This window comes from Homo sapiens, chromosome 3 (genome assembly GCF_000001405.40).
Source record: "Homo sapiens chromosome 3, GRCh38.p14 Primary Assembly".
In the NCBI taxonomy this organism is placed as follows: Eukaryota; Metazoa; Chordata; class Mammalia; order Primates; family Hominidae; genus Homo; species Homo sapiens.
This window is the reverse complement of record NC_000003.12, coordinates 127,002,962-127,015,674: the sequence shown is the minus strand read 5'-3', so window position 1 is coordinate 127,015,674 and position 12,713 is coordinate 127,002,962. Positions and strand designations below refer to the sequence as shown.

At 61.9% G+C, this 12,713-nt stretch overlaps 1 protein-coding gene across 1 annotated transcript in view, besides 1 other annotated feature; it reads right to left on the bottom strand.

Annotated features, from left to right (window-relative positions):
• The window catches only part of PLXNA1 (plexin A1), a 54,275-nt gene that overhangs the window by 21,715 nt on the left and 19,847 nt on the right, over window positions 1-12,713 (bottom strand). Inside the window, exons 4-15 of the mRNA NM_032242.4 lie at window positions 12,205-12,345; window positions 10,964-11,064; window positions 10,667-10,790; window positions 10,432-10,585; window positions 9,497-9,596; window positions 7,762-7,876; window positions 3,517-3,717; window positions 1,559-1,655; window positions 1,300-1,493; window positions 1,046-1,197; window positions 844-964; window positions 355-491 (exon numbers count right to left, since the gene is read on the bottom strand). Coding sequence (NP_115618.3) covers window positions 355-491; window positions 844-964; window positions 1,046-1,197; window positions 1,300-1,493; window positions 1,559-1,655; window positions 3,517-3,717; window positions 7,762-7,876; window positions 9,497-9,596; window positions 10,432-10,585; window positions 10,667-10,790; window positions 10,964-11,064; window positions 12,205-12,345 — 1,637 coding nt within the window. The remainder of the gene's footprint in view (window positions 1-354; window positions 492-843; window positions 965-1,045; window positions 1,198-1,299; window positions 1,494-1,558; window positions 1,656-3,516; window positions 3,718-7,761; window positions 7,877-9,496; window positions 9,597-10,431; window positions 10,586-10,666; window positions 10,791-10,963; window positions 11,065-12,204; window positions 12,346-12,713) is intronic.
• Window positions 301-580: an enhancer, noted in NCBI's record as "active region_20450". NCBI's record gives its function as "activates an Ori minimal core promoter by ATAC-STARR-seq in GM12878 lymphoblastoid cells {active_cell/tissue: GM12878}" and the evidence as "EXISTENCE:reporter gene assay evidence [ECO:0000049][PMID:35858748]".

Sequence of the window (12,713 nt, the reverse complement as noted above, 5' to 3'; positions counted from 1 at the left end):
TCCACTTCAAGCCTCAGGGCTTTTGTTAAGATTTCTGTTTTCTCTCTTAAAAATTTTTAAAAAATACTTCTTATTTTGTACCCAAGGGATTCCCCCCTTCCCCACAGGGAAGAACCAGGGCAGAGGCAGCCAAGTTGCCCCGCCCCACAAAGGCAGGCCCCACGCCCATCACCGCCCAGTCCTACCACTCTGGAGGTAGCCTGTTTCCATGGTAACCTCCGCCTCTGGGTTTCACAGTGATCACCCCAGCCAGGCTCTCCATAGCCCCGTTGCCCAGGCAACAAGAAGGGGCATGCAACCATCTGAAACAGGAGGAGGGGCAGCCAGGCCCCCACCCCCACCTGCACCCCGTACCAGGAGAAGGAGCAGGGCCGGCCACCGACCGACACAGCCACATCACTGCCTGCGTTCAGGTGGCTTCCCTCGATGCCAATCCAGGTGCCCCCTGACAGAGGCCCACGGGAGGGGCTCACACGGTAGAAGGTTGGTGTCTGCAGGAAGAGGGAACTTGCTGAAACTCTCAGGAAAGTCCCCCTCGGGCCACATGGGGACAGGCCCCACTTGGCCTGCTTACCCCCACAGACAGTTCCCCAGACTAGGAGCCCGCATGCCCGGGAGCTGCACTTCAGAGCCAGTACTTCCAGGTTTCTCAGGCACAGCCCAAGGTGAGCCAGGGAGCCCTGGAGCTGGCCTAGGCACAGGAGGGGAGGGGCAGCACCCAGGCCGTGGAAAAGCAGTGGCAGAGCATGGCCAGACAAGGGGCCCTGAAGAGGCACAGAAGCCCTGAGCGGCACCCTCTCAGAGCAGCAGAGAATAGGGAGAGAGGGAGGGCAGCAGACTCACCACGAAGGTGAAGCGCTTGGGTGACAGGGCGCGGTAGTGTGGTGAGCAGTCCCGCACACACACCTCCACCAGGGCGTCATGGGCACGCACGGAGCTGGCGTCCCCGATCTCACAGACGATCCTGTGGGCAGGCGGGCCTCAGGGGCTGCAGGAGCCCCGCCCCGTCCCGTCCCGCCCCGCACACACCCAGGGCTGCACTCACTGCTCCGCACTGATGTACTCGCTCTCCACAGGGCTGCACAGCACCTTGCCCACGCGCACGCCCAGACGCACGTCTTCGAATCGCAGGCCCAGGTTCTCGCCTGTGATAGTGAGCCGCGTGCCGCCCTGCCTCGGGCCCGTCTCGGGGGACAGCTGAGGGAGGCAGAGGCTGGGGTACAGGCATCCCACAGGGCGTAGGGTGTGCGGTGGTGCAGGGCGGGGCATGGGGTGTGGGGGCAGGGCTGGGGGCCCTACCTTGAGGATCTTGGGGTCGGTGCAGCGACTGCTGCCGTGACGCGCGTGCATCCACGATGCAGGTGTGTCGGCAGCGCAGTGGTGTCGCAGGGAGCAGCGGCGCTCGGCCACGCACCATCCGCACTCGAAGCGCGGGTCGGCCTTGAGGCAGAGGCCGCAGCTCTCGCGCAGGGCCGGGCACTTGTAGAGGTGCGCTGTGGGGAGGGGTGCGGTCAGCTCGGGCCCGCCCACTGCCCACCCCGCCGGGGCGCCCACTCACCCTGGATGTTCTGTGGGTTGTCAATGACAAAGTTGCCGTTCCACACGACTGACAGGTTCACTGGCAGGTCGCTGACATCGTTCCCCTCGTAGGAGTACTGTTAGGTGATGGCACCGTCAGGCTTCCCAGCTAAGCGGCCTCCAGGCCTCCCAAGCCTCACGCCCACAAAGCCACCAGGGCGCCAGCTTAGGGGGAAGTTTCTGCAGCCACAACCGCTCCCTCTCCACCCTCATCCTACACAGGACTTCCTTCCTGGCTCCAGAGCCCCCTCTCTCCAGGCTAGCAACCATATGAGGTGCCCTTCCAAGGGAACCTCTGTGCTTCCCACAGTCACCTCTGTGGCACCCCCTTGGAGACCACCTCCAACCACAGGCAGCCTCTGACCACTCCCTACAGTCAGCCAGGCTGGGAAACCAAGACTCCCAGCTGGCCCTAGAATACGCATCAGCATGCTCTGTGTACCTCAGCATCTTTGCTGAATGGGCCAGGACTGCCCTGCCTTGAGGTGGGAGATCCGTGTCCCCGGACTGGGGCAGAGACAGGCAAAATCACTGTCAGGTGCAGCTCTGCTCCCCGTCCCCTCCTCAACAAGGCTGGGCTGGGCCCAGGGGAACTGCCCCTCCCCGGGAGCCTGGCTAGGACTCCAGCTGTGCCCCACTTTCTGCCACAGATGACCTCAACTCTGTTCCCGTGCTGGGACGGTGCAGGGAGCCCAGCATCTCCAAGGGGCGGCCCGGCAATTCATCATTATTTTATCTGCAGGAATTTAATTGGATCCTGTCAAATTCCCCGATACTCCCGCTTCCCTTTAAACACAGCTGAAGGGAAGATTAATGTGGGCCTGGTGAGAAGGGAGGGTGGGGAGGGAGACGCAGGTGGAAAGTGCAGGGCAGGCGAAGAGTTGGTGATAGAACAGAAATGTCTGGAAAGACTGGATGGCAGAGAGAACTCCAGATAGCTGTGGTGGCCAGGAGTGATCCTCATGGCTGACCTGCAACCCAACCTGCCCCAGGAAGCCTGTTGTGACCCTCCAGACCCTACCCCACACTGCTGGGACAGACCAGGGGTCAGCCAAGGGGCTCCAGACCTCTGACCCCATCAAGGCCCTCCCCAGGGCTTCCAGGGGATGGGGTCCAGCCAAGGCCTTGTCGACAGCCCAGTGCCCCACACAACAGCCCAGCCACCTGCCCCTGCAGTGAGTTACAGGAAGCCCACTGCTCCCTGGATCACACCCGTCCTGAGCAGAAGGGGAGACAGAGGCCTACTGGGAGTGCAGGACTTCAGCCCAGGCCTCCAACTGCTGGGCAACTGGGCCCCACTCCCCCACCACTCAGGAAATGGCTGGTTCTATAGAGATCCCGTCACTGAACGCACTGCACCTGACAGTAGAGCTTTTCAAACACTATTGTGTCAGATCTGAAGGTCTACGCATGCTCGGACCACAGGCAACAACCGTCTGCTAGTGTGCAAGTGCGGGCCAATGGGAGTGTTTTCTGCATTTGGCCAGGGATGGACGGAGCCATGCGCTCTGGCACCCTGACCTCTGCCCTCCGGGAGCCACAGTGATGAAGGCTGGCAGCCACCTGGCTATTCCTGCACACACTCAGACCTGATGATCAGCCCATGCCTGGGACCCACGGATGCTGCAATGTGCGAGTCCCATGAGGCTGGCTGCTGTCCACTCCCACATTCAGGCTGCTCCCACCACACAACTGGGTGCTCTCAGCAGCTACCAGGACAGCATGGGCCCCCTGCAGCCCACTTGCCTACATGACCCAGGCACATCTGAAGGGCCTGGCAATGGCCTGGGGAAGCCAGGAGTGGCTTCTGACTCATCAGAGATACACGTGAGCACGTGCACTGCCCTTTATGAACAAGCACACGCCAGGACCCAGGGCCGTGAGGATAACCGGCCCATTCCGGCTCACGGCCCCCAGCCCCTGCCCTGGCCACCTCACCGAGGAATTCTGGCACTGCAGGCTGGAGCTGTTGAAGCGCAGGGCGGTGACACGGGCCGGGCTGCCCGGGATGTGGAAGAGGCACTCATATCCACGCTGGCCTGACTGTGGCTGTGGCAGGTTCCGTGCGGCCAGGGTGATGGGTTTTACCACTCCCACTGGCACGTAGATCTGCGTGGAGGGCAGGATCTGTGGGCAGTCCTGGGGATAAGAAGAGTTTGGCTGAGCCCGGGGGCGGAGACCAGTGAGCAAGGTGCACCCCACTACGCTCCAGATGTGCACTGGGCCTGTGGTGCTCCCAGCCAAGCACCAATGTGCCCATTTTATGCACTGGCAAACTGAGGACCGCTGGCTGGGACAGTGACTGCATACTATGACCCAGACAGGCTCTATTACCTCTGGCCCCTGAATGCCCTGCCCCATGTTCTAGGACCCCCACCATTCCAGAGACCAAAGGAGCCCCATCTGGCCAGCAGCTGAAAAGGCCCCAGAGGCAGAAGAGATTGGGGCTCTGGGGCTGCAGGCTCTGCGCTGGGGGCCCAGGGAGTGTATAAAAATAGCCAGAGCCCAGCAGAAAAACAGGCCTGGCCTCTGGGGCCAGCATTTCGGCAACAATAACTGATGCAATGGCCTGGCTTCCTTGCAGCATGGCTGCTGCTGGCCTCAGGAGATGGCCCCTCGGGAACACTGAGAAGCTGGGCTTTAAATAGGGATGCTGAAAACAGGCTGTAATCCCCAAGCCCTGCAACAGCCCCCAAGGCAGGCAGGAAGGCCCAGGCCCAGCTCTGCAGAGATTTTCCAGGACCCAAGAGGGGGCCTGGACTCTGGCCTGGCCCCTCAGGAGCTCCAGGGAAGCAGAGTTAACAAGGCCCAGCTGGGCAAGATGACCACTAATCTCTGGGTCTGCAGGGATGCTCCTGTGTCCACTGGGGAGAGGCAGGTGGTGGCACCTTGCAGCTAGGGCCACTGGCCCCAACTTAGGGGCTGCACTTGCAACTCTGTGTTCCCAGAACAGCTGCAGCCGGAAGGCACAGGCACGCACAGTGGCCATACCTATGCTGTACCTCCCTGGCAGTCTGAGGCGCGCCCAGTGACTCTGCATGCTGAGGCTCAGGCTGGAGTCTCACCGTGACACGGGCCACCGTGGGCCTTGTCACCTTAGGGCCCCAGCCATGAAAACGGGTGGCTCAGGGCACTGAGACTCCTTTCAGTCCAAGCTAGGCTGCCCGTGAGCGCCCGAGAATGGTCAGTCTGAGACCAGCTGAGCTGCCCCCACCATCCAACCAACTGAAAAATGCCCAGAGGAGCCCAGGCAGCTCAGCCTGCAGCAAGCCAGAAGGTGACTATGGTGAGGGACGGGCTTTGTTGGTGCCCGTAAGTTCAGGAAACCTCTTGGCCGGTAGCACGAGACATGAAGCTGGCTCACCTGGCGTGAGGTCTCAGTCATGGCCCACCCCCAGAACCCAGGTCCCAGCCAGGAAAAAGCACCACCCACCCCAACACCAGTGTGAGCGTGTGGGCCCAGCACGCATCAAGGCCAATGTGGCTGGCCCCTACCTGCCTGCCCCATCACCCTGAAGCTGGCCTGTCCCCTCGCCACCCCTGCCCTCTGCCAGGTGCAGGAAGCTGACTGGCTGCCTGGGCCACACCCGGTCCTCTCAGGTGCTCCCCATACCCCCACCCCATCTCCTCCCCAACACCCAGCTGAGTGAGAACCCAGGAAGCTCGGCACCCATGCGGCCCACTGAGTCAGGATTAGGCTGAAACTCCAGTGATCACCTGACTCGACCTGGCCTGACTCTGACTCTGACAGGAGGCCTGCAGTGGCGTGGGTCTCCTGGGATCAATGACAGCTCAGAGCCAGGTCCAGTTGTCCCCAAAGGCTCTGATTACAGCCTCTTCCCCAGTGCATAGTCTCCCCGGTAAAAGGCTGGAGGTCCTTCTTCAGAGCCAGGTCCGGTTGTCCCCAAAGGCTCCGATTACAACCTTCTCCCCAGTGCATAGTCTCCCTGGTAAAAGGCTGGAGGTCCCTCTGGGAAACGCTGGGGGAAGATTAACAGGGTGCATTTTGCCAGCGCACAAGGCTCCTTCCTCAAGGGACCCCAGCCTCTCCTTCAAGCAAGGAGTCTATAGACTTGCTCAGATCTGGGAGCTGACTGGCGGGGCATGCAACTGTTATGTGAAGACACGAACCACACTCCTCCCTTTCTGCAGAGTCCAGAAACAGGCATTTCTAAGAGAAAGTCCCGACTTCTCAGCGTGTCTCATGAGCTCAGCTTCGGTGGGGGCTCCACGTGGGAGCCCTTAGGCCCTGGCACACAGCACCAGCTGCCTCCATGGCCCCAGTCTGGCGGCCCTTCCCATCAACATGCACAGGCCACTCCGCCTTCAGACAAAACACACAGACCCCAGCATGCAGGCAGGCACAAGAAGGGGCCACAGAGACCCCCTCCCAGCATGGGGGCAGGGGGCGGATGGTGGCCTTGGGGGTTAGGCCCGGCTGTCTCAGCAGGAAGCTGAATGTAGTACACTCCTGTCTCAGGGGGTGGCCCGAGGAACCCACCAGAAACAGAGACGGAAAGAGGGCTTGTGGGGGGGTTGGGGGGGGACTGCCACTGGCCATTGTTCCCTGAGTCCCGGAGGACTCACGTCACACCCCTTAGGAATGGCTCCATAAAAATCTGGGACTCAAGCTAAAAAAAAGAGTAAGTATTTGTGGAGAGAATCCACTCCCCACATAGTCCTGCGACCCCACACGTGCCCCCAGCCCAGCCCTGCCTGCTCTGCCTCCCCAACCCTGAGGCCTAGGGCCACTACTCCAGGGGCCACTTCCTCCACTCCCCAAGGGTGCCTCGAAGTTCATGGCATGGATGGGGAGGGCTCAGGGAAGGCTGCCACTGAGGAATTGGGCTATCTCAGCCCCAAAACCATCCCAAGCTGCCCAGGGCCCTGCTACCACCCCTGACGACCACTGTGCTGCCCCCCACTGCTCGAACCCTGGGCTGCGCACAGCGCCAAAGCCACTGCATCTGCACATCATCCCCACAGTGACTTCATGCCCAGCTCTCCCTGGCCCGAGAGGCCCCCAGGACCAGCTCTCGCCTCAGATTCCACCGTGGGCTCTGCCCACACCCAGGACACCTTGGCCTGGCTCTTCAGGCAGGCCGCACCCCCAGAGAAGCGCCCCACTGTGTCCCTGGCTCCTGCATACCCACTGTTATAGGCAGTCACCCTGACACAGGCACTGTGGTCCCTGCTGCCCCGGGCTACCCTCCACCGCTGTCCTGTGCCCTGATGTCATGCCAGGGAGCAGAAAAGTCCAGTCCAGAGGGTGACGCTGGGGGCCAGGGGACCTCTGTGAGAAGGGACCCAGAGGAGAGAGGGCCACCATGCAACTTCCTCAGCCCCCAGCCCCCAGCCTGGCAGGGAAGTGCAGCCCAGCTGCAGCCTCCAAGGTCTCCCTGGCAAGCAGAACCTGCCCCCTCCAGCCAACAGGCGGAGTGTCCACAGCAAAGGAAAGGGACCTGGCTGCAAGTCCCGGCTCCACACCCACAGCCAGACCCGGTGGGGATGGGGGTGGGGGCTGCCACAGCTCCGGCCTCAGCTTTGCCACTCAGCACCTGTGGGCCCTGGGTCCTGCCCTGTCCTGCTACTAAGCGCCTCATGTTCCAGAAGGAACAGCCTGCTGTTCATAAAGCTAGTGCCTTGCCCAGCCCAGAATAATTACTACTTAATTACTAGCAATTACCACTCAGCGCCTGGTGACTCCAGAACCCACCAGCCTTCAGGCACGCTAGGCCGGCAAGCTCCCCTGCCCAACATGGAGGCCTCTGTGCCTGCCCAGCCAGGCACCCGCACTCCAGGCTCTGCCCGCACCTGCTTTGCAGCCTGACAGTGCCCCCAATTGCACCCAGGAGCCCGTGTCTGCAGCCCCCACACAGAGGCCCAGGGACAGAACTCATCTGAGGCTTTTCCCCCTCCCTGAGTGTCACGAAGGACACCCAGGGGTCACCAACAAATACCACAGGCCTGACTTCAGGCCAAGACAGTGACCCCACAGGCCTCCCAGCTGGCATCCAGGGTCACCTCACTGACCCAGCCTGGTGGTGCATGCACCACACGGTGACATCCCAGACATCCACAGGTGCTCCCTGGGCCAGGCCTCAGGCGACACCCAGATGGGATGTCTCAACCCAGTTCTGCTCCACCTCTGAAAACCTGACCCTCACCCTTGCCCGGCCTTACCTCAGACACGTTGACACGGCCCTCCAGGAAGGCGCAGTCAGCCACGTTGTGTGTGCACACGTGGCGGTATTTGCACCAGTGGCAGGGAAAGGAGCCGTTGACACAGGACAGGCAGCTGCAGGGAGAGGGTGGGTGCTGAAGCCTGGGGACCCGCAACCACGTGGAGTCACCCATGATCAGAAGGACACTGTGCCGCCCCTGCTGGTATTCATAGTGCCACCTCAGGGTCTTGGCACTGACTGCTCCTGGCCTGGAAAGTTCTTCCCCCAAACCTGAATGTGGCTGCCTCTCTGCCTCCTCACACCTCCCCGACAGCTGGAGGTGTCTTGCCTCCCCACCTTCTTGCCTGCCCACACTCCTGACCCCAGGCTCCCTATCCTCTTTGCCGCTTTTTCCTCCAGAGCCTTGATCACCACCTGACTGCCAGCCAGGCATGGGTACTCGCATCAGAAATGTGTTAGTGCAACTAAGGAACTTCATTTTAAGTCTTGACTCCTTTTGGCAAACTTAGATTTAAACTGAAGCAGCACGTGCTGCCACAGAACTGGACAGGGCCATGCACATCACCTCCCTGCAGAAAGCAGGATCGCTGGGGCAGGAGCTTGTCTGTTTCCCTCTGACACACCCCAGGGTCTGCCAGGCTGGCCACTGTAGGCGCTCTGCCCACAACTCAGCCTTGCACAGGGCTGGCACCTTGCCATCTCAACAGCCTCCAGGAAGACACCACCTCCATCTCCTCTCCAGGATCTCCTGACCCGCCAGCTCCCCCACCACCCTGCTTCTCCTGTAGCCCTCGGCCCCCTCCAGGCCTCTGCCCCAGAGATCCCCCACCCCACCTGGGACGGGAGATGCTGCATCCTGGAAATAAAAAGCCTGCTTGGCTCACGGCAGTTGCTCCACAAAGAGCTGTGACAGAGTCCATCTGTGAGTCAGTCAACAAACAAAAGCATACCTGAAAAGCCACGCACCTCCTGTCTCTGAGGCCAAACCCTACTGCCTCAGCCTGGGTCCTCTGGTTCAGGGAAGGAGTGAGGGCTCTCCTCTGGGCTCACAGTGGGACTCACAGGAGGCCCCCAGATCCTCCCATCCTTCCTCTGAGGCTGGGGGTGCTCACAGCCAAAATGGGCAGCAGGCATAGCAGCTGCCTCCTAGACACACTCCCTGCCCAAGCAGGGGGCGTGCACAGGGGCCAGCACCAACCAGAGGGGACCTGGATGCTGCATCGTCCAACAGTAGCCTGCCACAACCAGAAGCAGCAGGTACCCAGGGGCCGTGTCTGGGCCCCTGCTCAGGCCCCCAAACCAGCCCGCAGCTCCTCCCTGAGCGCCTCCCCTCCATGCCAGTGCCCATGGGCCACTGTCCATATCACGGTGGCAACATTGCACAATGTGCCCTTGCAGCCATACACAGCCACCTGGGGCCCTACAAGATCCCTGTGGGGCAGGCACTGCCGCCCACTCTGACTGCTGCTTCCTGGTACGCCTGCCCCAGCCTCAGGCACCCTCTGCACTCATGGCCTTGCCCTGGCTGGCTCCTCTACCTGCAAGCTGCTCTCACAGTGGCCTCTCCTCCCTCCCTGACCGCCCAGCCTCAGGAGCCCCAATCATGGAATCACCATCTGCTGCCTGGCCACATGAGGACAGGTCTGCAGACAGCAAGCACAGTGGGACCACAGGGACGGGAGTGGGGCAAGTAGCCCAGGCCCAGGCGGGCGGAGGGGCCTAGAGACACTCACGACTGGTGGACGCTGCAGTTGTAGAAGACGAAGTCCACAGACGCAAACTTCTTCCCTGTCTCCTTGGACTTTAGGTAGAGTTTCACCACCCGCTGGTCTCCTGCACGAGCAGCATGGCTGAGTCACCAGGACTGCTTGCCCAGGACTCCCACACAGGGCAAGTCCAGACAGGGGAACAACTTGCCCGGAGACCCTCCTAGCTGCCACCATCAGTCGCATCAAACACGCATCCAGCCCCCTCAGCCCCCAGGTGACCAGGGCCTGGGATCTGCCCTGCTTGCCTCCTGCTCAGTGTGAGGGGTTGAGAACCGCGAGACTCTCCCCAGGCCCCCAGGCTGCCTGCTCCTGTGGAAGGGCCTGCAGAGCGACTGTCCAACGGGCTGTGGCAGCCAGAGGGGTCCTGCACCCCAAGTCCCCATGAGACTGTCCCCCACCCAACCTGCGCCCCACATAGCCCACCCCTCACCCACTCCCACCTTCAGCCTGCAGCCCCCCGCAAGACCCCAGGTCTCCGCCATGTGGTCCCTTCATCCCACCTACCCTGCCCTGCTCTTCCACCCTCTGGGTCACCATGGGACACCTAAAGACCTTAATGCCAGTAGGGATGGCAATAATTATGGTAGCGGAGGTGAAGTATGCTCATGTGTCTATGGCTATTCCTACTGTAAATGTATGGTGAGCCCATAAGATAAATCCTAAGAAGGATGTATCCGCTGTCCACCTCCCTGGCAGGAAGGCTCTCACTCTGGCTACATGCCTGGAGGGTTTTCTCCACTCCCAGACCAGCAGGTGGTGAGACCCCCACCCATATCAGCTGTCAGAGTGTCACCAACATGCCCTTGGAACTGAACAAGGGAGGCGCTAAACAGGCGGCAACTGGATTGCAGCCCTGGACCTGGCCAGGCAGCGGGCACCATTGTGTTGGGGCCACTCACCCTGGCCCCGCGTGATGGGCGCCACCTCCCGGGCGGAGGGTGAGCGGCAGTGGATCCGGCCATCCTCCAGGACGCTCTCAGATTCCGTGAAGTCCTCGAAGGAGCAGTTGACGCCAGCTGAGAGGTCAGGCACGTTCCAGGCCTGCAGCACAAGCTGGGCAGGCAGCAGGAGGCATGGTGAGCAGGGTCCCCATGGCTGTCCCCCACCCCTTACCACCTGGGGTGCCACACTTACTGGGACCTGGGACATGGTGACAGACACATTGCGGGGCTGCACAGTCAGCTGCACACACTGCAGCAGGTCCGCAGCAAAGCGCTGGGGCTCGTCTGCTCGCTCACAGGCGTCCCGCCGCGAGCAGCTGCAGGCAGAGGGGTTGAGGCTGGGCGGATGGGGAGACCTACGGGGCCCGCCTGCCAGGCGGGACCTGGGCAGAGAACTCGGGGTGGCTTGCCCTGCACCAGGCTCCCCCTCCCCCACTGTGAGACCACCATGGCCCTCCCCGCCTGCCCCTGCCCACCTGCCCAGACTCACATGCTGTGCAGGACACACCAGCCACAGTGGGGGTCCCGTGACCCCAGACACAGCTCACAGGACGTGTACTGCACACAGCTCTCCACAGGCACCCGCGTCACCTGGTGTGGGGGAGGTGTCAGGCCCCTCCAGTACCACCCCAGGGGTCCTTGACCATCCTCACCTCTGACTCCCTACTCTGCTCTCCTTAGGCCCGGGGAGGCCCTGCACTTGTTCTCAGTCTATTCAAAGGCAGATCTGGTGACCCTGCCCTGGCCAAGCCAGGTCGCACAGGTCAGGCCTCTGCCCTGGAAACCCAGGGGGCAGCAGCCAGAGAGAACAGTCCATATGGGGTGAGACAATCAAAGAAGCACCTGCAGCTTCAACCAGAGTTCCTCTCCATCTGTCTGGACTCCCTCCCAGCTCTGAGCTTCCCCAGCGATCAATGGGCTTGGCAGGTCCCAATCCTAAGCTCCAATGCAGGCCCAGACAATGCTCAGAGGGGCAGGCTGGGCCCCAGCTCACTCTGGCTCCTTGGCTCAGCCCAGCATCCCAGTGCCCACGGAGGCACGTCCCTGAGGTCCCCAGGAAGGCAGAACCCCACTGCGCCCAGGAGGGGCAGAGGAAAAACGAGCCAGCCAGAAGGGGAGGGAGGCTTGGCCTCAGCTGGTGTGCCCAACCTGGCCCCACCTGCCCCATCTGCCCACCCTCCAGCTGCCACGAGGTTACCAGGTTGGGCCATAGGGCAGGGGTGGACTCCAGGCAAGCCAGGCCAGGGACTCAACTCCATGGCCTTACAGAGCTGGGCCAGGCACCAGGTTGGGTAGACCAGGCCAGCCACAGGCCCTGTGGGCAGACCCACTGGACAGAGACCCAGCCCTAGGCCTGAGGACTCAGTGGCCCAGTACACACCCCAAACCCTCCAGTGACACCTGCCTCTGAAATTGCTCTCCTTCATACATCTGTTTCTGTGGTCAGGAAGTCAACAGGGGAGGGGTGGGAATGCCAAACCCAGCCCAGGAGAACATGGAGGCAGCAATGAGGCTGTGGGGCCCCTGGTGACCAGACCGGTTCCCCTGCAGACCCAGCCGAGCCCACAAGTCTGCAGGGAGGCAGAGCACAGACCAGCTTGAAACTACTTTTACCAGGAGCCATGGACGCCCAACTTGTGATGTGGCCCCACCCCTACTGCTCTGTGACTGGGGTTCCTGGTAGGAGGGCCCCCACCTTCAGCCACACCGTCTGACTGGTGCAGCACCCACCTGCTTCTCGGTCATGGCGTAGAGGTACTGGTGGTTGGGGCTGAGGACGAGGTCTCGCAGGATGGGGCTGCCCTCCTGGGCCACGACGCTCTCGTAGGCCAGGGCAGGCCGGCCACCGGGGTTTGAGAGGTCCACCAGGATCTGCGGCAGCAAGGGGCCCTAACTGGAGCTGTGCTGATACCTCCCTGACCCAGCCCCACCCCCCACAGAAGGTCAGGGGTCTAAAGCCCCTCCCTGAGCTGCCCAGACATGCATGAGCAGAGAGGACCAGCGCCAGCCATACTCACTCTCCACATCCCCAGCCCCAGCCCCAGCCCCAGCCCCAGCCCCAGTGCAGGGCAAACTCAGACCCCAACAGGCCAGTCTGTGATTCAGCCCCTTTAACAGTCAGCAGAGGCCAGAAGGTATTGGGGCCTGGAGACAACCACAGCCCAGCACCCACCACGGAGCAGCATGGCCACACCCAGGGTGAAGGCTACAGGAGTCCCACGGGTGCCTAGCCATCCCTG